The 26491-nt window shown below is 49.8% G+C and overlaps 1 pseudogene; it reads left to right on the top strand.

The window, feature by feature from the left end:
• On the top strand, positions 294-3079 carry LOC100887076 (apical junction component 1 homolog pseudogene; annotated as a pseudogene).

The following is a 26491-nucleotide window of genomic DNA, read 5'->3' as shown; positions in this document are numbered from 1 at the left end:
GCCCGTCCTTCAAGCTGCGGACACCAGAGGGCGCAGCCCCAGGACCACGCCCCCACTCCCCTACCCCACCCGGAAAGGGGTCCACCCGAGCCGGCCCTGCGGTCACTAGTCGGGGGAGGGGAGGCCCTGGAGCTTCACGCGGGAGCTCCCGCTGCGGGAACCACAGCCACCGCTAAGCCTTTCTGGCCCGCCCGCCCCATCGCAGGGAGAGGACGGGGGAGGGGCAGGACGGGCGCCTGGACAGCTGGGTTCCTCCCGCAGGTGCTTCTGACTCCGGCATGGAGGAAGCGCCTGCATTCTCGGCCCAGGCCCGCAGCCAGGGCTGCTACGCCCGCTGCGCCCCAGGTAAGCCGGGCCAGCGTGGGGGAGAAGCGGGGCCTGGGCTGCGGATGGGGCTGCCCTGACCCGCGTCTCCCCCCAGGGCAAAAGCCCCGCAAGGCAGTGTGAGCTGGAGCCGCCAGCCTGAGGACCTCTTTTAAGATGACCCATACGGACGCTCCGGACCTGCTGGTGTCGACCGTGTACCAGGACATCAAGGTGGCGACCCCGGGACCCGCGTCCAAGCGCTCGCCATGTGAGCGATCCCTGGCTCGGCCTGCTGAGCCCGCGCCTTTCAACAAGCGCCACTGCGGCAGCTTCGACTTCCTGGAGGCGCTGGACCGGCCAACCATGGAGACCCTGCCGGAGCCACCGCCCCTGGAGCCCGCTGTGCCGCGCGCCCGGACCCGCGAGGCCGAGCCACACCGCCGCGCCCACTCCAAGAGCGCGCCCCGCGCGCCCCCGGGCCTGACGCCCGCGCCCGCCTTGCTGCAGGTGTTGCCCAGCCGAGGGCGGGAGGCCCAGCGTGCGGCGCGGGCCGAGGCATCGCCGCGCCCTTGCCAACTAGCTGCGTCCCATCAAGTTGCAGCCGCAGCTGGGCGGCCCCGGCCACATCGCGCCCCTGTGCGCCGCCGCGGGCCGCTGCGCACCTCCCGAGCCACCCGCGGGTCCCTACCCCTACGTGCGCTCCTTCCGGACATCAAGCCAGAGGACGCAGTGCTCCAGCACGCCGCCTGGGGCTTGCGGTCCTGCGGGCCCGCCCCGCCCCGCAGTTCCACGGCCTCACGGTGCCCGGGCCCCGCCATATGGCGCTGTCGCACACCCCGACGCCAAGCGACTCATACCGTGCGGATCCCCGGGCGTTCTACTGCGACGAGCCCCTGCCTGGGCCCCGTGACTACGCTGAGCGCCGCAGTCTGCCCTTCATCACCCCGCCGGGCCCCACCAGTTCTTCTATACAGAGGAGCCCCAAGGCTTCCGGGGCAGCTTTGCGGCCAGTCCCGGTCCAACCTTCGACGCCTACTGCCCCAGGCCCTATCCGTCGGAGGAGCTCCCAGGGCCCAGTCCAAGGTGCACGGGGGGCTACTACGCAGGAGAGGTGCGCACCTTCCCAATCCAGGAACCGTCCTCCCGCTCCTACTATGGGGAGGCTCCCTGAGCCTACGGCCTGCCCTACGGGCCCCGCTATGTCCCTGAGGAGCCCCGGGCCCACTGCACCGCCCGCCCTTTTTACACGGAGGACTTCGGAAAATACCGTGAGCGTGACGTCCTTGCTCGGACGTAGGCGCACCCGCTCAGCAGCCCAGCCTGGGCGGACTGGGGCCTGCGACCCTACCGCACCCTGCAAGTGGTGCAGTCCTCTAACCCCGACCGGTTGCTCGCCTCCTGGCATGGCGGCACCGGCACCAGTCCACCCCGGCTGGCCACCGACAGCCGCCACTACTCGTGCTCCTGGGACAACATTCTGGCCCCGGGCCGTGCCGAGACCAGTGGGGCCGTGCCGAGACCAGTGGGGCCGTGGCCGCAGCTATGAGAACCTGCTGGGGCGTGAGGTGCGGGAGCCGCGAGGCGTGTCCCCCGAAGGCTGGTGCCCACCTGTCGTCGTGAACCTGTCCACCTCGCCCAGACGCTATGCCCCACTGTCCCTGTCCGAGACGTCGCTGACGGAGAAGGGCCGCGCGGGTGAGGGCCCGGGCCGCAACTGGTACGTGATGCCCGAGATCACCATCACTGACAATGACCTGCACGCCACCGAGCGCGCACCAGGGCCTGGGAGTTGCCCGGGGGCTGCACGCGGCCACTTCCTCATGCGGCCCCCGACGGCCCCACCTCTGGCCGCCAGCGGATCCTAGAGCAGCTGGACGAGCTCATCACGGACCTGGTCATCGACTTGCGACCCCCCGCCGGCCAGGCCTCAGAGCCGGCAGCCCACTGCCTGGGCCCCCAACTGCGCCAACTGCTGGACTCGCGGCCCGCGGGCTCCGGGGCCCCCGCGCTGGTGCCGCCACACTCGCCCCCAGCCTCCACCGGCATCACCCAGGAGCCCGCGGCCCCGGGAGAGGCGGCTGACATGTCCCCGGAACCCAGCGCCGACGAAGACGACCTGATGACCTGCTCCAGTGCGCGCTGCTGGCACACAGAGACCATGTTCAACGCCTGCCTCTACGTCAAGTCCTGCCACAGCTGCTACACCTACTACTGCTCACGCCTGTGCCGCGGCGAGGACTGGGACGTCCACAAGGCGCGCTGCGTGTACGGCCGCGTGGGCAGCGTGTGCCGCCACATGCTGCAGTTTTGCTGTGACAGTGGCCCGGTGCACCTCGCTTTCTCGCCCATGGCTCGTGTGGGTTTCCTGTCGCGCAGGCGCAGCGTGCTCTTCCTGGGCTTCCCAAGTCCAGGCTCAGCTGAAAACTTCCTGTGCTTTGGCCTGGAGGGGCTGCTGCTATCCCCCTCCCAACTATCGCAGTGTGAGCTGGCCACACACGCGGCGCCCCTGGGCAGCTACATACGCGAGCTGGCAGCCGCTGGGCGCCTCTACGAGCCGGCAGAGCTTCCTGCTTAGCGTGGCCGTGGCCGTGGGACCCAGCACCGCGCCCCTGGGGACATCCGCCCTGCCCGTGCCCACGCCACCCAGCGATGGGCCAACAGTGTGCAAGTTAGCCAAGGTAGCGCTGGCAGCCGGCAGCCCCTCGTGGCCGCCCCTGGCGCGGAGTGGCAAGCCCGACATGGAGACGCTGATCCTGACACCACTGCCGGACACCCACATTTTCCAGTATCTTTATACAGTATCCTATGTGTGGTACCAATTTATTGTATTAGTTCATTTTCACACTGCTGTCAAGAAATGCCTGAGACTCGGTAATTTATAAAGAAGAGGGATTTAATTGACTGAGTTCGGCATGGCTGGGGACACCTCAGGAAACTTACAATCATGGCAGAAGGAGAAGCACGCACGTCTTACATGGCAGCAAGCGAGAGAGAGAGAGAGAGAGAGAGAGAGAGAGAGAGAGAGGGAGGGGGAGGGGGAGGGGGAGGGGGAGGGGGAGGGGGAGGGGGAGGGGGAGAGAGAGGGGAGAGAGAGAGAGAGAGAGAGAGAGAGAGAGAGAGAGAGAGAGAGAAGAGAGAGGAGCAAGCAAGGGAAATGCCAGATAGCTATAAAACTATGAGATCCCATGAGAACTCACTCAGTATGATGAAAACAGCATGGGGAAACTGCCCCCGTGATCCAATCACCTCCCACCAGGTCCTTTCCTCAACATATGGGGATTAAGAGGATTGCAATTCAGGATGAGATTTGGGTGGGGACACAGCCAAACCGTATCAGCATACCTAGGTTACTAGCTCATATCTGGAGCCAGCAATGGGGTTTGTCCCACCAGAATCACTCAAGCGTAGAGTGATATGGTTCCCCAAAGGAAAACTAAGGTGTTATTTCTAGACAAAAAGGATTCAATGCTGGGAAGGCAAAAGCAGTCTATCTATTCCACAGTAGGATGTGAGTCATCAGTACACAGGAGATAGTAAGAAGGCTAGGAGTAGTGGTTGACACCTGTAATCCCAGCATTTTGGGAGGCCAAGGCAGGTGGATTGCTTGAGTCCAGGAGTTCAAGGCCAGCCTGGGCAACATGGCAAGGCCTTGTCTCTACAAAAACAATACACAAATCAGCTGGGTATGGTGGCATACACCTGTAGTTCCAGCTACTCAGGAGGCTGAGGTGGGAGGATCTCTTGAGCCTTGGGAGGTCAAGTCTGCAGTGAGTTGTGATCACACCACTGCACTCTGGCCTGGGTGATAAAGTAAGGCCCTGTCTCAAAAAAACAAAAGAAAAGAAAAATGATAACAACAATAAAACCCAGAAAGAAGTAACAAAATCACCACTGTTTCATCTCTATATTTTTACTTTCTGGTAGTTGAAAGAGAAGAAATTATTGGCCAAAATAATGTATGTACATATATCCTTAGATCTACATCTATGTTTATCTATATCTATAGTCATATAGTCATTTGTATTGGAAGACACAGCTCCTGAACTTTATTGCTCTTTAGATACTGATCCATATGAGATTCAGAAGAGAACAGGTAATGCATTTCAGATTTATTTGTGATGAATATATAGCATCAAGCTTCAGGAACTGATTTGCTTCTCATGTGCATTGGTACTAGTTGGACTGTCATCACGCTGTGACATCGGTCCTCTCTGAAGGACCAAGAGCTCCCCTTCTCTCCTCATTGCTTTAGGCCTGACCTTTACTGAGATCCCCCTCCTAATAGTCTGTAGTCTATGACAGATTGGCAAAGTAAACTTTGTCCATTTCTATGTTAGTTTTTTTTCTGCAGTGGCAAGAAACAGTCACTGAACATTGATTTCTTGAGTATAATTTGTCTGTGTTTTAAAAGTTTAGAAATGTGTTCTTTGGACTACATACTTGGCCTAAAACACCCAGTGGACTACCACACTATACCCCCATCACTTGCACTACATCACCAATGGTAGGGTGGCCACATTCACTGTTTACACGGATCTATTCCTTAGGACTGAGTCATTAGCACAATCCTGTCTTCCTAGGCTTATTAGAGAAATCGAAGACAGGATATTTGAATTGAAAGGTACCTACAAATCCATCTTCTTTCCCATTGATTGATTGAATCCCTTTCATACTGTTTCTTGAGGATGGTCAATCAGTCTTGCTTAAGCACTTCCCCCGGGAGGAAAGTCACTATTTACAGATTCCCCAGCCTCTTGCATTGCTAACAGTTTGTATCATGAGAAAGATCTCTCCCATAGAGTTGCTCTCTCATTAATAGTCACCTCTTCTTAAAGCAACAAGGCCAGTTTTGAGGAATCTCTTTGTGCCCCTTTTCAGTAGTAGATCAGGGTTTGCACTTCAAAGGATATCGTGGGTGTCTTTTTATGAGTCAAAGGCTTATCATCTTTATTGCAGATCAGTAACAAGGCAGGTTTCTGGAATATGTATATGGTTTCCTTATAAACAGTCCCCAAACTCATGTATCAACCTGACAAAGTCTAGACTCAAGAGTTTGTTTCAAGAAGAAAAAAAAAGAGCCAGCCATGCTAGAAAGAATCGCAAGCCTATAAATTGTGCTGAAGTGTGTTTATATAACTAGATTAGAGTTTAAATAAAGCACTCCAACGGTAAACCGAACTACAAGTCCTAGTGGTAAAAGCAACCTCTGAAGAGTCAGTGGAATGGACAGGTTACACTTGTTTTCATTGTGCACACAAGCGAACACAGATTTCCAAATGGATGGCTAGCACCTCAGGACATTGCTTCCAGAGGGCAAATTTCATCATTGTCATTCTCATTTTGAGAAACTGAAGTTCAAAGAGATGGGTGACTGCCCTAAGACAGAGCCCTTATTTCAAGGTCCAGGGATACCTATGACCCCTCTGACCTAATCCAGGTGACAATTTATAGCTGATTCATATGACCCTGTTGACTCAAGCCAGTACCCCAAAGCTATTTCCCATTTAATGAGACAAAAATCTCACCTGAGAGTGCCATACTAGCTGTGAATTTTCATCAGATTCTTAGAGATGACTGCGACTTTCCGCCTTCTCCTCCCATCAATATTTAGAACTCTTGAATCATAGTTCAATTATCAATCAAGTTCTCTAGAGAAACAGGGATATAACTTGTTCAGTGATTTTGGCTTATGCTAAGGGCTAAGCCAGTCAGAAAAGAAAACAGAGGAACCAAAGTAATATATTCAAGCAATATACTCAAAACCAGTCGAAGAAGAAGCTGAAGGAGGAAGTCTGTGGGGTTTATTTTTATTTATTTATTTATTTATTTATTTATTTATTTGAGACAGAGTCTCACCCTTCACCCAGGCTGGAGTGCAGTGGCGCAATCTCAGCTGACTGTAAGCTCCGCCTCCCGGATTCACACCATTCTCCTGCCTCAGCCTCCTGAGTAGCTGGGACTACAGGCACCTGCCACCATGCCCGGCTAATTTTTTGTATTTTTAGTAGAGGCAGGGTTTCACCATGTTAGCCAGGATGGTCTCGATCTCCTGACCTTGTGATCTGCCCTTCTCGGCCTCCCAAAGTGCTGGGATTACAGGCATGAGCCACCGCGCCTGGACGTTTGTGGGGTTTATAAACAAAATCAATGCTTTATAAAATTGTATAGCCATGTGTTAAGTAAGTGTAATTTTAAGGCAAACTGCTTTATACTGTATGTGTACGATTACAGATACAAAACTATACAGTCATATATCACTTAATGACAGGGATATGTTCGGAGAAATGCATGGCTAGGCATTTCTGTGCAAACACCATAGAATGTACTTACACAATCCCAGACAGTATAGCCTACTATACACCTAGGCTATACAAGTATAGTCTATTGCTCCTAGGCTACACACCTACACAGCGTGTGACTGAACTGAATACTGTAGGCAATCGGAACATAATGGTAAGTACTTGTGTATCTAAACATGGAAAAGGCACAGTAAAAATATAATATAAAAGGTAAAATAAGGCCAGCCATGGTGGCTCACACCAGTAATCCCAGCATTTCGGGAGGCTGAGGCGGGCAGATCACCTGAGGTCAGGAGTTCAAGACCAGCCTGGCTAACATGGCGAAACCCCATCTGTACTAAAAATACAAAAATTAGCTGGGAGTGGTGGTGCACCCCTGTAATCCCAGCTGCTTGGGAGGCTGAGGCAGGAGAATCACTTGAACTCAGGAGGTAGAGGTTGCAGTGAGCCGGGATTGCACTCCAGCCTGGGCATCTCAAAAAAAAAAAAAAAAAAAAAGTAAAATATGGTCCACTTGTATATGGCACTCACAATGAATGGAGCTTGCAGGACTGGAAGTTGCCTGGGTGAGTCAGTGATGAGTGGGGAGTGAATATGAGGGCCTAGGACATGACCTACCCTACCGGAGACTTTATAAACACTGTACACTTAGGCTGCAATAAGTTTATTAAAAATATTTTCTTTCTTTTGCAATAAATTAACCTTACCTTACTGTACCTTTTTAACTCTATAAACCTTTTTTTTTTTTTCTGGTACCAGACCATTCCAGGCAGGGAGAGCCACTGAGCTCACTCCATGGGCTGCCCACATGGGGTCTGGACCCACCTGCCCTCTTTTGCCTGGCAGGCAGCCTCTGGGCCATCACAGGACACATTGTGTGGTGATCAGTGGCCCACCGCCTGCCCTTGTGGTGGGTGCAGTTCACAGGTTCTGCCCCAGGCCTGGCACCGTGGCCTTCCCAGCCTGGCCCAGGATAGGGGACATGAATGATCCTTGCCTGTGCTTCTTTGGACCATGTGAGTTTGGACACTCACTGCAGAAGTCCCTCCAGGTCCCTTTTCAACTGAGTTGTGGGGGACTTGCTTAGTCCTCATGCCCAGGGTCAGGGGAGGGGTGCAGAGTCTGCACCCCAAATCCCCTAGGGCCTGAGGGAGGTATCCCAGGTGACCTCTGTCCTCTCCAGTGACATGAGTCCTCCCAGATGGCCTCAGCCCTCTCAAGTGACATGCTTCCATGGTGACTCTGGCTCTTGCAGGAGGTGGGCTACTACAGGGACATGAGCTGCCTAACTGCCATCCTCCTCCTGTATCTGCCAGAGGAAGACACCTTCTGGGCACTGGATCAGCTGATGGCTGAGGAGAGGCACTCCCTGCAGGGTAGGCGGACAGCTACCCCCAGGGCCTCACACAGCCAGGCCATGGGACGGCCACCCTGCCTGGGCGATCCTGACTTCCCGGCAAGGCACCTTCCTTGCTTTCCAGCTTGTTAGGAGCCTTCAGGACATCCCTGCTGAGGGTCCCACAGGAGCCTAGAGCTGAACAGGGACCCTTTCACTTCAAGGCAGACACCTTTCATCCCCAACAGCAGAGGGCGCTGCAGCCTCCCCCTGGCCACCCTGTGTGTCCCAGAGCCACAGCCCTCTAGCTCTGAGTTCATGCAGGTGACCGTCACTTCCTCAAGAGTCCTGCTACCTCCCAGCTGGCCACACTCCCAGCTGCCCTCCCAGCCCACAGATGGGCCAATGAAGTCGAGATGGCAGTGTCTGCCCATCCCATGTCCCCCAGCCTGACCCCATGTCCAGGAGAGGCCATGTAGCCCCTTGGCACCCACCCTGTTCCCTCCACTGGCCACTGCCTGCCGCAGCCCTGCCTCACAGCCTCAAAGGCAGGCCTGCCCTCCGGGCACCTCTACCCAGGATGCTGCTGTGCAGTTCCTCTGGCTAGGGCCCACCTCCCTAGAGCTGAGGCCACATGGTAGGGTCACCTAATGGAAGGGAGGAAGGCCTCAGGGTCCGGGGTCCCCTGCCACTGCCCAGCTCTTCCAGCTGACAGCTCCACATCTTGGGAGTGGGCTCTGATGCATGATGGGTCAGGGGCTTCTCAGTTTTCTACAGCCCAAATACTGCCCAGCTCCGGAGGCTCCTATCCCACCAGGAGCAGGTATAACACAAATTTTTCCCAAAGATCATGTGGTACCTGCTGAGTGGACGACACCCTCAACTCTTTCCCAGAGGCCCAGGGTCCCATGGGGCAGGGAAACAGGGAAAGATGGAGCTCCTCGAGGGGCTGACAAGAGGCTGAGTCCCAGCCAGGGCCTCGCCCAAGATGGGGATTCTCCATGGGTTTGGAGTTGGGTTTTCTTATCCTGCCCTGGAGGAAGAGGCAGAGGTACTAGGATGGGGGCTGAGCTCCAGCTGAGCAGGGTTAAGGGAAGTGTGTCCACCAGGCATCTGTGCATGGGGGAGTTGTTGGGGAAGCACTGGCCACTGCCCAGTGTTCTGCCCCAGGGCAGCTCACGGGGCCCTGAGCACCTATGGTCCAGGATTGAGGTTTGTTGAGTTGGCTCCTCTGGTGTTTCGTTGATGGGGTAAGGAGGCAAATGGAGATTCCAGGCCAGGGACCTTCATGTCCCACAGTGCCCAGCTCCCCCAGGAGGACCTGGATCACCCCAAGCCCACATGAAGCACAGGGAAGTTTCTGCATGGCACAGAAGCCAGGCCCTCCCCAAAAGGGGGCATCACATGGCAGGGGCCAGGACTCAGGCCCACTGCTATTTTCACATTATTAATTTTATAATGTGATATGGTTTGGCTGTGTTGCCACCCAAATCTCATCTTGAACTGTAATTTCCATAATCCTCATGTGTCCTGGGAGGGACCCAGTGAGAGGTAACTGAATCATGGCAGCAGTTTCCCCCATGCTGTTCTCATGATAGTGAGTTCTCATGTGATTTGATGGTTTCATAAGCATCTAGCATTTCCCTTGCTTGAGGTGATGAATGCCTCATTTACCCTGATGTGATTATCACACATTGCATGCCTGTGTCAAACTATCTCATGTACCCCATAAATATATACAGCTACTATGTACTCATAGAAATTAAAAATAAAAATAAATTTAAAATAAAAAGTGTGAGTTTTTAAAGGTGAGGTTTGCCCTCCAGCACTGGTCCCTGCCAGGTGTGACCTTCACATCATCTTTCCACATGGTCCAGGCCCCCATTTGCAGAGGCCAACAGTTTCTGAGGAGTGACCTTCCTCAGAAAACAGGGTCTTGGAGGAGACAGTCAGAGGAAGGGGCCTTGTCCTCCCCACTGCACAGCCCCTCGTGGGGATTGGAAAGTGAGGGTCTCTGCCCACAAGTTGGCAGTCACCTTAAGCTTTTTTGTGGGAGGAAGCATAGGGAATATAGGTCAGTGCTGGGACAGCATTTCCTGATCCTGACTTGGAGAAGGTGTTAAAATCTTGACATTTCCGACTCCTCCTTTGTGAGAGCCCCTGCCCTGCAGGTCTCACAGGGTTGTTGTGAGGGTCACCTGTGGTGATGGGTTTGGAAGTGCTTTGTGAATGACACGGTGGGCCTTCCTATTCCTGTCATTGGCCTTTCGACCTTCAATACTAATTGCCTGGGGATCTCCAGGCCTCAAGGTCTAATCCTGGAAGGGTATGAGGTGTCCCTAGTGGAATATTCTACACCTCATGGGAGGTCCCTCACTTCCACCTTCACCTGACATAACCCCTGCTCCTGTTTCCTCAGCCTGGAGAGCTTGCCCAGGAGCACAGGGTAGTACTGGACTGACCTCTTTGGAAAGGGTGATTACATCCTCATTTCAGCTCTCCCTCTTCCTAGCTTTCCACATAGAATTCCAGGGCTCCATGCAGCATTTGCTGGACATGAGAGGGAAAACTTTTAGGGCAGGGATCTGCCCTGGGTGGGGACAGAGGAGTATCCTGGAGTCTGGGTGTCAGGAGTGTGAGCCCTGCCCAGCTGGCCAGCCCCTGTCCCCATGCTGCTCGATGCATGATGTTTCCTGCACAAGCTTCCTTTAAAGGGAAGCTTCCAAAGTGACTGCAGTGAGGTCCATGCTGTTGGGCATGACAGAGCAGCCCTGGAGGTGGCCAAAGAGAAGCAGGCAGAGGAAGCTTCTCCAAGCAGGCTTGGAAAGATATTTCCGCATATCACTCACGTCACTCTTGCCACTAGAAGGAAAATTTCTACAGTGGAGTGGAAGAAAATGACTATGCTGTGGGAGAGAATGGATGCATCCAGAAGAGCAAGGCAGGAGGAGAAATGAGCCCATTGCCAGAATTTTGTGTCTTTTGAAGACATTTGCCAGAATTCTACTTTTGAAGGCTGCCCCTTTTGACAGTCAGTTACTGAGGAAGCTGTGGGACATTTTCAAAGCCTTTTATATAAAAAAACACACAACATACTGCTGTGGGTCTGTGTGCAGGGACCACGAAGAGCACAGCTGCCGCTGTTCTGTGTCGCAGATGCTATGGGAAGTGCCTTAACACACACAGATGTGCTTCATGCAACCAGGTGAGGAACATCTCTAAAACAGTTTACACTCAAGAGAATTCAATGTTGAGGAGGTTGAATGCGTTATCCAAGATCACACATATGTCCTGACAGATTCAGGGTTCAGCAAAGAATTATGTATCATGAATTATAGAGTTGTATTTTAATTTTTCATTTTAAATTTCTGCAGTTTTCTTCCATCACTTTTCACCATGCTTTCTATACTTGGAATTATTTTTTTTTTTGGCTTCTTGATCTTCTTTACTTGTATGTTATTGATTTTCTACAAGTTTTATCATATATGATTAAAGAGTATTTCTTAATGTTTTAATAATTACCCTAGAAGGGATCACAGCCAAGATGGCCAAATAGGAACAGCTCTGGTCTACAGCTCCCAGCGTGAGCGACGCAGAAGACAGGTGATTTCTGCATTTCCATCTGAGGTACCAAGTTCATCTCACTAGGGAGTGCCAGACAGTGGGTGCAGGACAGTGGGTGCAGCGCACTGTGTGCGAGCCGAAGCAAGGCGAGGCATTGCCTCACTTGGGAAGCACAAGGGGTCAGGGAGTTCCCTTTCCTAGTCAAAGAAAGGGGTGACAGATGGCACCTGGAAAATCAGGTCACTCCCACCTGAATACTGTGCTTTTCTGAGGGGCTTAAAAAATGGCGCACCAGGAGATTATATCCTGCACCTGGCTCAGAGGGTCCTACACCCACGGAGTCTTGCTGATTGCTAGCACAGCAGTCTGAGATCAAACTGCAAGGAGGCAGCGAGGCTGGGGGAGGGGTGCCCACTATTGCCCAGGCTTGCTTAGGTAAACAAAGCAGCCGGGAAGCTCCAACTGGGTGGACCCCACCACAGCTTAGGACTCTCTCCAACAGGCCCTATGATACAGCCATGCAGCCAGCTCACCCCACCCACATTCCACAGACTGCCCTAGGCTTTAGGACAGTGGCAAACATGGCCTCTGCCCATCCCCATCTGTGAGCACTCCTTCTTACCCCAAGGTCAGTTGCTAACCAATGAGCTGCTGGGGGCCTCCTTCTCCCACTCCCACTGCACTGTGTCCAGAGTGGCCAGCACCAGCCCCAGGTGTCAGGGGTCAGTGCATTTGCCTCGGGGGGACTGGCAGAGTGGGTGCTTCCTGAAAGGCTGTGCTGGACTCAGCCCATAGACTTCGTGTGTCCCATGGGCTAGGGCCAAAGGAAGCAGTCAGCAAGCGCCATCCACCCCAGCTTTTCTCTCCCTGGGGACTGCTGGACTGAGGGTACAGGTGGCCCAGCTCCGAAGGCTGTTGCTGGCCAGGCCTGCCCACCTCCCCTCTGCCCTGCAGGCACTTGCCTTTTCAGAGTCACATTTGAATCCTACTCCTTACATCAAGGTTCAGGCAGCTGTCCAAACACCTTATCTCTTCATCTCTGGCCATTTCTTCAGAGTCGACTATGAGCAGAAATCACCCAGACACCCCACAGGTAAGTCCACTTGCCTCACATGGCTCTTCCTCTTCTCAAGAACCTACAAGGGCTCCCAGTGCCTGAGGAATAAGGTCCATTGGAGACCCTGCCTTTCTTGCTGCCCCTCTCACCCTCTTCTCCAGGCAGCCAGGCAATCCTCAACACTTCTCCCCTCAAGGAAAGCACAGTGCACCCCAGGATTCGACAGGGGTGCTGCTGTAGGGAGCAAACCACACACCACTGAGGCCCGCTTTCCCTGCTGAGACGGGGGGCATCCCAGGGCCCCACACAGGTCCAGGGTCCTGGCACTTTGCTACTGGGCTCCTGTGGGGAACAGTAATGGTCTCTTCCCACTAGCCTGTGAGCAGCAAAGAGGCAGGACTGGGGCTCAAACCCCAGTCTCCCACCTTGCTGTGTGACCCTTTGTGAGCTTAATCTCAAAGAACTCAAAGCACAGGCTTTGATTTCTGAACTAACACCGGGGTTCAGCACCAGGCTGCAGGGCTCTGAGCCCCCTCACCTCAGTCACCACAAGGGAATCTTTTCTCTCCCAATCACCTAGAGGGAGGCTGGGCCTCCTGGAGCAGAGCAGCATGGGGGGAAGCAGCCCTGGGTCCCCTGAAGTCCTAGGTGGGCAAACACAGACTACAGAGGGAGCTCCCCTTTCAGATTAGTGGTGAAATGGTTTCACATCACTGGGAGGGTGTAGAAATCTGTAGTTAAGCCCTGTAAAATATAGATTTTGGCACATGGGGACCTAAGAGAATCCTGCCTGGAACAGGGCCTGGCATCCCATCAGTGCTCAATAAACAGCTGCCAGTGACATGCACGAATTAAGGGAGGCCAAGTGTATAAGTTCTTTTATGAAACCAGAATCACTCCTTTGTTCCTCCTCTATGCAAGCAAAGAGCCACATGGGTACAGCAGAGGGGAGCCTTTTACACACCAGGCCTCATGCAGGAAACCGGGTCATAGGTCAGGGAGTTTGGAGTGGAAGGGACCTGAGAAGCTGTCCTGGTCTAAGTATCTTTCTCCCATTTTAAGTAAAGGAATACACAGGGTCAGAAGGAGGAGGACCTGTGTCCAGCCCCTGTGTTCCCCACTCCTGGGCAGACACGTACCCAGTGCAGCGAGAATGTCTGCGAGGGGGATTTGTCAGCTCCACTGCTCAGCACTGATTTTGATCAGCATTTCCCCAGGGACAAGAAGGCACTTAGTGACCTTGTCCAAATCTCATGTTGAAATATAATCCTCAGTGTTGGAGGTGGGGTCTGGTGGGAGGTGCTTTGGTCATGGGGGCAGATCTCTCATGAATCGGTCCTGTCCTTTCAATAGTGAGTGAGTACTTGTGAGATCTGGTTGTTTTAGGGTATGGCACCTCCCTCCCACCACATTTGTGGCACCAGCACCACATTTGTACAGCCTGTAGAATTGTGAACCAATTAAACATTTTTTTCTTTATAAATTACCCAGCCTCAGGTATTTCTTTACAGCAATAAAAGAATGGCCTAACACAGAAAATTGGTACTGAAGAGTGGTGTTTTGCTATAAAGATACATGAAAATGTGGAAGTGACTTTGGAAGTGAGTAACAGGCAGAGGTTGGAAGAGTTTGGAGGGCTCAGAAGACAAAGATGAGGAAAAGTTTGAAATTTCTTAGAGACTGGTTAAATGGCTGCATTCTGTTCATGCCCTAGGAATTTGTGGGAGTTCAATCTTAAGAATGATGATTTAGGGTGTCTGATGGAAGAAATTTTTAAGCAGGAAAGCATTCAAGGTGTGGCCTTGTTGCTTCTATACTCAGATCCAGGAGCAAAGAAATGACTTAAAGTTGGAATTTATGTTTAAACAGGAAGCAGACCAGAAAAATTTGGAAAATTTGCAGACTGGCCATGTGACAAAGAAAGAAAAAGCTTTTTCCAGGAGAAAAATTTGAGCAGGCTGTGGAGAAAACACTTGCTAGAGAGAGTTGCATAATTAAAACAAAACCCAGATGCTGATAGCCAAGACAATGGGGAAAAGGCCTTGCACGCATTCCAGAGATCTCCATGGCAGTCCATCACATCACAGACCTTGAGGCCTAAGAGGAAAGAATGCTTTTGAGGGCCAGGACTTTACTGCTCTGCACAGCCTCAGGACACTGCTCCCCACATCCTGGCCACTTCAGCTGCAGTCTCAACTCAGAAGACCCCCGATACAGCTCAGGCTACTGCTTCAGAGGGTGCAAGCTATAAGCCTCAGCAACTTCCATGTGGTATTAAGCCTATGGGCATGCAGAGTGCAAGAATGACGGCTGGGCATTCTCTGCGCCAGCGCCGGTGCGCTGCGTACTCCTCAGCACAGACCCGGAGAGCATCGCCAGGGCGGAGCTGAGTTCTCCTCTGCACAGACCTGGGGAGGCCGGGGGCACCGCGAGGGTGAAGCTGCGTTCTGCTCAGCACAGCCCCAGGGGACTCTGTGAAGGCAGAGCCACGTTCTCCTCAGCACAGACCTTGGGGACACTGCCTCGCTTTGGGACAACTCGGGGCCACATCGACGATGAATAAAATCCTTCCTGTTTGCAGCCCTGAATAATCAGGGTCAGAGACCAGTTAGAAGGGTTCACTGTGGAAAAACGGGAAACCAAAAGCCCCTCTAAATCCTTCCTAACGAGGTTCTCCCCAGCCAAGGCGAGGCGGCCGCAGTGCGAGATCCACACCACAGCCTCAGAAGACAAATGCAGCATTCCTAATGCAGACATGACACCCGAAATATGACACCCCCATTGCTCATGTAACAAGCACCTGTAATGCTAATGCATTGCCTCAATACAAAAATATTAATATAAGATCCGCAATCCCCTCGCTGCCGTGCAGTCCTAAGACAGCGATCATAACAATCAACATTGACATAGTCAATACAAACGTAGTAACGAACCTAGGGTTAAGGTTGGTGTTAGGGTTAGGGGTTAGGGGTTAAGTTTAGGGTCAGGGGTTGGAGACAGGGGTTGGGGTCAGAGTTAGGGGTTAGGAGTCAACGTTTAAGTTAGGGGTTGAGAGGTTAGGGGTTAGGGATTAGGGGTTAGGATTGGGTTAGGGTGAGGGTGAGGGTTGAGGTTAGGGTTAGGGGTTAGGGTTAAGGGTTAAGGGTTAGGGGTTAGGGTCAGGGGTTAGGGTTCAGTGTCAGGGGTTAGGGGTTATGGGTAAAGGTCAGGGTCACGGGTCAGGGTCAGGGGTCCCACTTTGTGGGTTGTCTATTTCCTCTGCTGACTGTTCCCTTTGTCATGCAAAAGCTCTTTAGTTTAATTAAGTCCCAGCTATTTATCTTTGTTTTTATTGCATTTGCATTTGGGTTCTTGGTCATGAAATCCTTGCCTATACCAATGTCTAGAAGGGTTTATCCAGTGTTATCTTGTAGAATTTTTATAGTTCAGGAATTAGGTTTAAGTTCTTAATCCATCTTGAGTAGATTTTTGTATAAGGTGAGAGATGAGAATCCAGTTTTATTCCCCTACATGTGGCTCGACAAATATCCCAACATCATGTGTTGAAAAGGGTGTCCTTTCCCCACTTTACGTTTTTGTTTACTTTGTCGAAGATCAGTTGGCTGTAAGTATTTGGGTTAATTTCTGGGTTCTCTCTTCTGTTCCATTGGTCTATGTGCCTATTTTTAAACCAGTACCATGCTGTTTTGCTAACTATGGCCTTATTGTACAGTTTGAAATCAAGTAGTGTGATGCCTCCAGGTTTGTTCTTTTTGCTTAGCCTTGGTTTGGCTACATGGCACTCTTTTGGTTCCATATTAATTTTAGAATTGTTTTTGTAATTCTGTGAAGAATGACGGTGGTATTCAGATGGGGATTGCATTGAATTTGTAGATTGCCTTTAACAGAATGGTAATTTTCACAATTTTGGTTCTAGTTCTACCCATCCATGAGCATGGGGTTGTGTTTCCATTTGTTTGTGTCATCTATGATTTCTTTTCTTTCTTGTTTTTTTTTTTTTTTTTTTTTTTTTTTTTTTCAGAGAGAGTTTTGCTCTTGTCGCTGAGGTGGGAGTGCAATGGTGTGATCTCGGCTCACTACAACTTCTGCCTCCCGGGTTCAAGTGATTCTCCTGCCTCAGCTTCCCGAGTAGCTGGGATTATAGGCATGCGCCAACGTGCTTGGCTCCATCTATGATTTCTTTCAGCAGTGTTTTGTAATTTTCATTGTAGAGGTCTTTTGATTCCTTTGCTAGGTATATTGCTAAGTTTTGTTTTGTTTTGTTTTGTTTTGTTTTGTTTTGTTTTGTTTATGGCAGCTATTGTAAAAGGGATTGAGTTCTTGATGTGATTCTCTGCTTGGTAGCTGTTGATATATAGAAGAGCTACTGATTTGTGTCCATTAATCTTGTATCTGGAAACTTTGCTGAATTCTTTCATCAGTTCTAGGAGCTTTCTAGAGGAGTCCGTAGGGTTCTCAAGGAGAAAGGTCATATCGTCAGCAACCAGTGACAGTTTGACTTCCTCTTTACCGATTTGGATTTCCTCTATTTCCTTCTTTTGTCTGATTGCTCTGGCTAGGACTTCCAGTACTATGTTGAAGAGGAGTGGTGAGAGTAGGCTCCTCGTCTTGCTCCAGTTCTCAGAGGGAATGCTTTCACCTTTTCCGCATTCAGTATTATGTTGGCTGTGGGTTTGTCCTAGATGGCTTTTATTACATTAAGGTATGTCCCTTGTATGCCTATTTTGCTGAGAGCTTTAATCATAAAGCAATGCTAGATTTTGTCGAATGCTTTTTCTGCATCTGTTGATATGATCATGTGAGTTTTTTTTTTAATTCTGTTTATTTGGTGTATCACATTTATTGTTTTGCATATGTTAAACCATTCCTGTATCACTGGTATGAAACACACTTGATCATGGTGGATTATCTTTTTGATATATTGTTGGATTCAGTTAGATAGTATTTTGTTAAGGATTTTGGCATCTGCATTCACCAAAGATATTGGTCTGTAGTTTTCTTTTTTGGTTATGTCCTTTCATGGTTTTGGTATTAGGGTGATGCTGCTTTCATAGAATGAATCAGGGAGGGTTTCTTCTTTCTCTGTCTTGTGGAATAGTGTGAAAGGATTGGTATCATTTCTTCTTTGAATGAGAGAAGACATTCTTTGAATGTCTGCTAGAATTCTGCTGTGAATCTGTCTGGTCCTCGGCTTTTTTTGTTGGTAATTTTAAAATTACCGTTTCAATATTGCTGCTTGCTTTATTGGTCTGCTTGGGGTATCTAATTCTTCCTGATTTAAGCTAGGAGGGTTGTATTTTTCCAGGAATTTATCCAACTCTTCTAGGTTTTCTAGTTTATATGCCAATAGGTGTTCATAGTACCCTTGAATAATCTTTAATATTTCAGTGGTATCAGTTGTAATATCCCCTGTTTCATTTCTTAGTGAGGTTATTTGGATTTTCTCTCTTCTTTTCTTGGTTAATCTTGCTAATGGTCTATCGATTTTATTTATCTTTTCAAATAGCCAATTTTTGTTTTATTTATGTTTTGTGTTTTTTGTTGTTGTTGTTCTTGTGTCAATTTCATTTAGTTCTGCTCTGATCTTGGTTATTTCCTTTGTTTGCTGGGATTGGGTTTGGCTTGTTCCTGCTTCTCTAGTTCCCTGAGATGTGAACTTAGATTCGGTCTGTGCTCTTTCAGACTTTTTGACGTAGGTGTTTAGGGCTACAGACTTTCCTCTTAGCACTGCCTTTGCTGTATCCCAGAGGTCTTGATAGGTTGTGTCATCCAGTTCGAAGAAATTTTTTACATTTCCATCGTGATTTCATTTTTCACCCAATGCTCATTCAGGAGCAGGTTATTTAATTTCCATGTATTTGCATGGTTTTGAATATTCCTTTTGGAGTTGATTTTCAGTTTTATTCCACTGTGATCTGAGAGAGTGCGTGATACAATATCAATTTTCTTAAATTTATTGAGACTCGTTTTATGGCCCATCATATTGTCTATCTTGGAGAAAATTCCATGTGCTGTTGAATAGAATGTGTATTCTGTGGTTGTTGGATGAAATGTTCTGTATATATCTGTTAAGTCCATTTGTTCCAAAGTATAGTTTAAATCCAGTGTTTCTATGTTGACTTTCTGTCTTGATGACCTGTCTAGTGCTGTCAGTGGAGTATTGAAGTCCCCCACTATCATTGTGTTGCTGTCTATCTCATTTCTTACATCTACTAGTAATTGTTTTATAAATTTGGGAGCTCCAGTGTTAGGTTCATGTATGCTTAGGATTGTCATATTTTTCTGTTGGATGAGACCTTTACCATTATATACTTCCTGTCTTTGTCTCTTTTAGCTACTGTTGCCTTTTTCTACCACTTTCCTTAAGTTTATGTAAGTCGTTATGTGTTAGGTGAGTCTCCTGAAGGCAGATAGTTAGTTGGTGAGTTCTTATCCATTCTGTGATTCTGTATCTTGTAAGTGGAGACAGAGAGAAGGGCAGGGTGGGAGGATGTCCTGCAGGTGTGTCTTGCATGGAATGGAGGTGGGGAGGAGCAGGCCTTCACCCAGAAAATTCTTCTTTGCTATTTATTTTCTGTGCTAACCTATTGTCTTAATCAGTTTTGTGTTGCTATAACAGCGTTCTTGAGGCTTTGTCATTTATAAAAAGAAGAGGCTTGTTTGGCTCACAATTCTGGTGGCTGGAAGGTTCAAGATTTGTCAGCTCCATCTGGTGAGGACCTCATATGGCTTCAACTTCTAGTGGAATGCAAAAGGCGAGTAAGTGTGCAAAGAGACCACAAGACAAGAGAAGAAACAGGAGAAACCAAGGGAGGCAGGCTCTTAACAACCCACTCCAGTGAAAATCAATCTATTCCTGAGAAAGCAAGAGTGCGAGCTCACCCCCACAAAAGGACATTTACCTATTCAGGAGGGATCTACCCTTATGACCCAAACACCTCCCACTAGACCCCACCTCCCAATGCTGCCACACTGGGGATCAAATTTCAACATGAGTTTTGGCAGGACCAAACCACATCCAAACCACAGCATGTACCCTAATATCCCCACTGTAGGCAACTACAGGAACTCACTGTGGCCCAAATGTCAGTGTCATACCACCTCCCCAGATCCTGGGGATCCTTAGGATGGGGGCAGAATCACCCTCTGCATTTACCCCTCTCCTTCCAGGATCTGGAGCAAGGGGATGAGGATGGGTCAGAAGGCTCTGGGAGATGGAGGTGTTCCACAGTGAGGGCCTCGTCAAGGGCAGAACTCCTCAACTATCAGATCCTTCACAATAATAGTGACAGTGACTGTTTTTGAAGCCTCAGTCTGTGCAAGAGCTCACATGGGTGTCTAAGGGACAAAATACAGTCTTGGGTTCTTCATTCCTGTTTCTGGTTGGGCCGGTAAAACCGCTTCCTCATCCCTCTTTTCCACTTATCACTAGAGACCAAAACTAAAAACTGTGGCTTTGGGCTGCTAAAAGCCTAAAACAAAACAACCACCACAAAATAAGGCAGGTTGGACAAGCTTGGATTACTTTAAATGATATTTTCTAGTCTTTGATTTTGCAAAATGTCTGAACATAATTAAAAGTTGAGAATACAGTATGACCCAGGGACTTTCTTCTGAGCATCTCACGGTCAACAGCCCCACACACCTGTCTTCTTTACACACATGCACATATACACACACAGAAATGCAGAGAAAGGGAAGATGAAGCACTTAGTGCAGAGACAACGCTGCTTCTGGCACAGTCCTGTAGTGAGCCTGCTGTAGTCAGCCACTCTGTGTGTGGAGTGGGAGGAGCAGAGTGGCCCTTCCTGTTTTTTCTTTTCTTCCTTCGCAGTTGCAAGCCCTCCATGACCTGGCACTGGGCCTTTCCCATTTGCCCAGGACTGCATGCTTCAGAAGGTGATAATGATATGAATAATAACAGCAACACAACCACCAAATCAAAACAACAATCATAATTGAGGCCACCAACTTTAGGTTTGTCAGGAGGAAGATGAGCCGCTGTATATTAATATACATTAAATATATATGTATCTTTTAGTGGTGATCAACAAAATTTAATAAATTCTATAAAATTTAACAAATATTTAATAAATACAATGTGATTATTATTTTTAATAACATTTAACAAAAATTAGCCACAATAAAATTAGTTTTAATGTGGATTATCCAAGTTTTGGATATTGGAGAGACACCTTCTGCCAAAACAGATGGTCAAAGGTAAATTTCAATGTATCACCCATAAATATCCTCTAAGTAGCAAACTCACTGATGTCATAATCAAACATACTGCACTTATCATGTAGCATTCAGTAGGAAACTGACCATTATTTTGACGAGAAATGTTTAGTTTGCCCCAGCACATCATGGGATCACTCTGATTACTTTATCCTGGTAGTTTCACGGCTGCAGAAAAGAGCAAATTGCAATGATTGCTGCTCAGAACCAATGTCCAGGATGTCTTGGAGTTAGGAACCACCACTGGTTAGAGGAAGTAGCTCTGTCTCCTGCTGCTTCTCCCTGGCTGGGGGCTGCAGGGTACACCGAGGGGCTCCTTCTGTCCTGCTTCCTGCTCTTTGAGGCTGCGGACCAGCTGTGATCTTCCTTCCCACACAAGCCTTTGCTTCCTCAGCAAAGCAGGCAGTTCCCACTGACACCCTCAGACCTTTCCCAACAGGCCGCTCTGCCTCTAGAAGGCTCAGGGAGCGCCCCCTTGTGGGCTGCTTGCCTGAGCTGGGAGAGACACGAAAGGGAAGCTGGTTCCTTTTCAGCAAATTTTTCTTCGGTCTGAACGTTTTTCACAGTAATTTGGTATTCATTAATTCATTCATTTTACTATGTATTTGTTCAAAGATCTGTTCTACAAATATGTATTGTGTGACTACTATTTGCCAAGCACCATTCTAGGTGTTCAAATAATGACTTGGGGAATAATAAAAGTAGAAATAATAAAATTAACAAACTCCATTTGTTTAAAAGTAATGGCACTTAAGATATTTGCATACGTAATCTTGTTTCTTGTTCAAAAGAGCACTGTGCAGGTGAACGTTATTATCCCTTCCGTTGAAAAGATGAGAAGCCTGGAGCCTAAATTCAGACAGGCAGCACCTGTGAGCGGAGGTGGTATTTGAACACATGTTCGCCTGCAGCAAAGTCCAGTGATGCTGCTGTGCTGTCGGTGGCAAAAAAGCCCCTGGGACCCTCGTGCTCTTGCTGGGACTATTTCCAGCTAGCTGAATGGCGGGATTTATGTTTACATTCAGTCATTTACCAAGGAATTTTTAAAAACTTACTCTCAAACTCTTTGCCTGTCTTTCTCTTATTTATTCCATATTAGAAACCCACCTCCATTCTGCCTTCTCCAATAACATAAAAGTGAAGGTGGCTTGCGCTCTTCACCCAGGGCAGGAGGCTGCAGAGCCCTGCACAGTGCAGTGGGGAAGCCCCGCTGGTCCCTCCTCTCAGCGGTCCCTCTCCTTCTGGAGCTCTGTGTCAAGGCCTGCCTGACACCTTCATGGCCCCCAGCAGGGAGGCCCCTTTGACAGGGATGCAAGAGACACAAATGCAGGGAAAGAGGCCTCCCTGTGGGAGGGGGGACCAGGGATGCAGCTGACCACATGCAGTGGCCAAACACCCTGGAACTTTATTTCAGCAGGGGATTTGGTGGCATAGGTGAGGTGAAGGGGAGTCCTAGACTTCTGAGCAATCCTTCAACTGAGAAAATAGTGTTACTTCCTGAGGTATTCAAATACAGAAAAGTGTTAAAGGGAAAATACGCAGTCTCATATCCCTTACCCCGATGTCCCAGCACTTACGGGAGGAGAATGTGTAGGGCCCCTCTCTGCTGCTGTCCTGGAGGGTGGGGCCACAGATACAGAGATGATGCCAGGCATTTGGTAAGGGGAAAGCTGCTCTGTTCTGATTGCAACCCTAAAAATGGCCCTTCACTGCGCTCTGCAGCTGTCTCTACTCCGATGACCAACGTCTGCTTATTTCCTGGATAGTGGAGCATTTCAGCAAGCACTGTATAACCCTGCTGATTCGTTTTGTTTCTGCTCTGGCCACGTTCACCTCTCCTGGGCCAAACACACCCAATGCTAAGTACAAAGAAAAACACCACTCTGCCTGAGCTCCTCCTCACCTCCATCCTGGTCCTCCTATCCCAAACCTGCACAGGTCAGATAAAGGGCCTGGGCAATGATGCCACTGCCCACACCCTGCACATCATTTGAGAGAAGACCCCTATGTAATGATCAGGTGGGGGCTGGAAGTGGTCTTGGGGGCTTCAGGTGTGGGGAAGAAGGCCTGAGTGCTAGCTTTGCTGCTGCCTGCCAGCGCCCTGGCCATCACCTGTTGAAAACCAGAGCTACATCCAAAGAGCACTCTCAGTTTATGGAGTCCCAGTACTGTTTTGGCTTATTTATGTTGCTGGTGACCCCTTTATGAATGTCTTCGGCCTGGACTTCTATCCTGAATATGCTTAAAGATGTACTTTCCTAAACCTATTCTTCTCCATCCAGGAGACCATGTAATCAGTGCTAGGGAAACATCAACGATTCATAGGGAATCCTGGTGCAATTTGAAAAGAGTGTGGGGAAGGGAAGTTCAAGTGAGGAGCTGGTTTGGACCATGATCATCCATGGATGGATCTTCCACACTGGGGCCTGGGGGTGGAGTCAGGGTTCTGGCAAGCTGAGGATACTCTCCATGTACACACAGAGAGCAGCATGAGGTTCAGACTCTTTGCTCACCCAGCTTGGGGGTGTGTTTCTCATCTAACGACATACAAGCATGTGAGCCTCTCGCTTGGCTTCTCTGTGCAGACCCCTTCTCCTCCCATTGCCTCCCTGGCCTCTGAGAATGGAGGAGTTTATTGTAAACCACCAGGCTGGGTGCAGCAGAGTCAGAAGAATGACTCACAGGCAGGGTTGCAACCACCAGGGGGAGGAGCAGCGCGGCCCTCCCAGCAGGGGCGTATGATTAAAGTGAGGAAGGGCATGAGTGCGCGGCCCACAGAAGAGTCATGGTTTAGATTAGTGGACGGATTGGCACAAAATCTGGAATTATTATTTTCCAATAGAGAGAGAAAAGGGGCTTGTAGGAACTGTTCACTGAACCAGGCAGAGAAAAATATTTTTCAAGGTGTTTTTTTAAATGGTTTCAGTCTTTTAGACACAATTACAAGTACTTTTATAGAAATGTCTGTGTAACTAAGACAACACACACATTTTTAAAGTGGTTTATTTACACAGAATGTAGATTTCTTCATGTGAAAAGAAATTCCAACAATTGACTGCAGCCTTTTTGAACTCCAGAGACTGAGGCCAGGGTGTCTACACTTCGGTGACCTCTCTCAGTTCCTATCCTGGGCTTTGCTGTTCCATGCTCACAAAGCCTCTTCCAGAAAGAAAACCCTCATTTCAAAGAACAGCATCTCTTCCTCCAGGGTCAGAGAGTACAGACTCCGCCAGCGCTCAGTTTCAAAGAATCTCACACGTCCCTTTTTATAAAGAGCAAAGCTTTTCTAGTTCCATTGTCATTTACACTAGTTTATTTTGATTTGTGGAAAAAAATGTATTATAAAACACATTTCAGCAGACAGCATGGAGCACTTTGAGGCTTCATTTGCATAATAAACTGCCCAGAACAATGATAATCCATTAAACGGTCTCATAAAAAGACCCTTCAGAAGGTGGCTGAATAAGTGAAAAAACAGGATGATTATCATGGCCACCAACAACGTCACCAGGAGTGCAGCTTCATAAACAGCTTGTCAGTTAGTTAATTAGTTGGGGGTGAAGGCCACAGCTGGGGCAAAAGGCCTGAGCCAGCCAGACAGTGTGCTTGCCAGACACTGACCCCAGCCAAGATCAGATGCAGAGAGGGGACAGCAGGGCTGGAGGGAATGCTCAGGTTTGACCCAGACACACCTGGATTTGAACCCTGTCCTCACATTTCCCGGATGTGTCATTATACAGAGCTTTGGTTTTCTCATCTGCAAAGCAAACATAAAAATACCTGCCTTACAAGGTCGATTTGAAGACCAGAGGTTGGGTAAAGGTGGGGTGGGGAGAGGGACACCACTGTTTCAGGACCATACGCAATGTAATCACCTCATCCTCGTGGCAATCCAGGTGCTGGTATATTTGGCATTTTCATGTTACAGACGAGGAAAGTAAGGCTCAGGCAGATGAAGTAACTTGTCCAAGGCCACTCAGCGAGTAAGCATTGAAACCGGAAGCCCCGCCCCATTCTGCAGGCCTCCCCAGCCTGGCCCCGCTTCTCCCTCCCAGTGCTCCCTGTCTTTGTGGTGTCTGGGTGGGCTCCTCCCTGCTCGCCAGGTGATCACACAGTTCTGCTTCCCAGGTGGCTCGTTTTTCCTTCCTGGACCTGAAGCTCCTTGAGGACAGTGACAAGATCATAACTGTCTTCATAAAACACTGATCTGCCTGTTAATAGCTCCCCTTATTCTGAGGACTCCCCTGAAGGCAGCTCAGGTGCAGCAGTTTCCCTGCCAGGCCCTGCAGAGCCTGGGAGAATCTGCATCTTGTCCAGGCCTGTTTGCTTCTGGATGGAGCCTGCCTGGTTGCCCTCTGCCTCCTCGTGGAGGTCTCCACTGCTCAGACCTAGGCCCTGGGAGGCCCTGGGAGAAGAGTTGACCAATGGGAAGCAGGAGAAGGGGAGGGGATAAAAGCAAGGGGAAGCCGGACAGCAACGAAGAAGAGAGGTGGGAATAGTGCTTGTGCAAGGAGCAGGGTGCCCCGCCTGCCCTCAGAGCTCAGGCAGAGTCCCCACAGCAGGGGCTGGGGGTGGGGCTGGGGAGGAAGCCAGGCAGATACCACTGCCTCACAATTAGAACAGCACTGTGGCTCAGAAAACCATGATACCAAGAAGTGCCAGGAAGGCAGGGACCTACTGAGGAACAGCAGTGGCATGGCATGGGGGCAGCCTGTCAGCACCTCGGCCTGACTGCAGTTTAGGGGTGGGAATGAGGTGAGGTGTAAGCTGGAGATGGGGCATGGGCTGGTCCCGAGGATGGAAATGACTCAGGCCTCTTGGTGCCAAGCAGGAAAACCCAACCACAAGCAGCTTAAACATGATAATGGGCATTTATTGACTTGACCACCTAATAAGTCTGGGCTCAGCCAACTAGGTTCTCAAGTGACATCACCAGGTGCTAAAGCCCCGCCCACCCACTCATGGGCTGAGAGTGGGGAGAGCAGGTTCTGCTGAGCAGGAAAATAGCAAATATTCACCATGCAGGTTAGCAAAAAGAAAAAGAATAGAGAGGAACATGATTGGAGAGAAAGCTGAAAAGAAAAAGGGAGCAGGAGGAACAGGGAAAAACAAGAAGCGGGGAATCAGGCAAGGAGTTTCAAGACAGGTCATTGCAAAGGTTGGGAAAGAAAGAGAGAGGCTCCAGCAGATTTGCAGGGTTTATTGTAAATTTGGCAAGAGTTATACAGAAACCAAAAAGAACGTGTGGTTCTGCTCCTGGCCATGGTGCAGGCATTGCATCACCTTCAGCCTGGCTTTTGGCAAAGCTCACCTCCCACCCTGCCCCACCCTGCCTGTGGAGGTGAAGAGCAGCTGTTCTTGGTCGCTCACTTCCTAGTACCATCCATAGCTTGGCTCTGGGAATTCTCTCCTCAAAGCTCTAAGCAGATTCCACCAGTGTCTACAGGCTGTGGCCCAAAGCCGTGCAGCTGAGAGTGTGACGAAGTGGCTCCACACCTCCCGCTCCTGCTGAGCAGACACTGCCGCTTCACTGCCAGATCCAGGATCATCACCCTCCAGTTCATTCTGGGCAAAACCACCTGCCACCCATATGCACACTTGTCCTCATCCTAACATGGGCCCCATGGCTTTCACCACCCCAAACTTTGGCTCCTAACCCTTTGTTCAGAAAAACCTGGTTGCAGACCAAGA

The sequence above is a fragment of the Homo sapiens genome, chromosome 18, assembly GCF_000001405.40.
Source record: "Homo sapiens chromosome 18, GRCh38.p14 Primary Assembly".
Taxonomy (NCBI): domain Eukaryota; kingdom Metazoa; phylum Chordata; class Mammalia; order Primates; family Hominidae; genus Homo; species Homo sapiens.
Note: the sequence above shows the minus strand (reverse complement) of the source record. Positions and strands in the feature narration are given on the sequence as shown.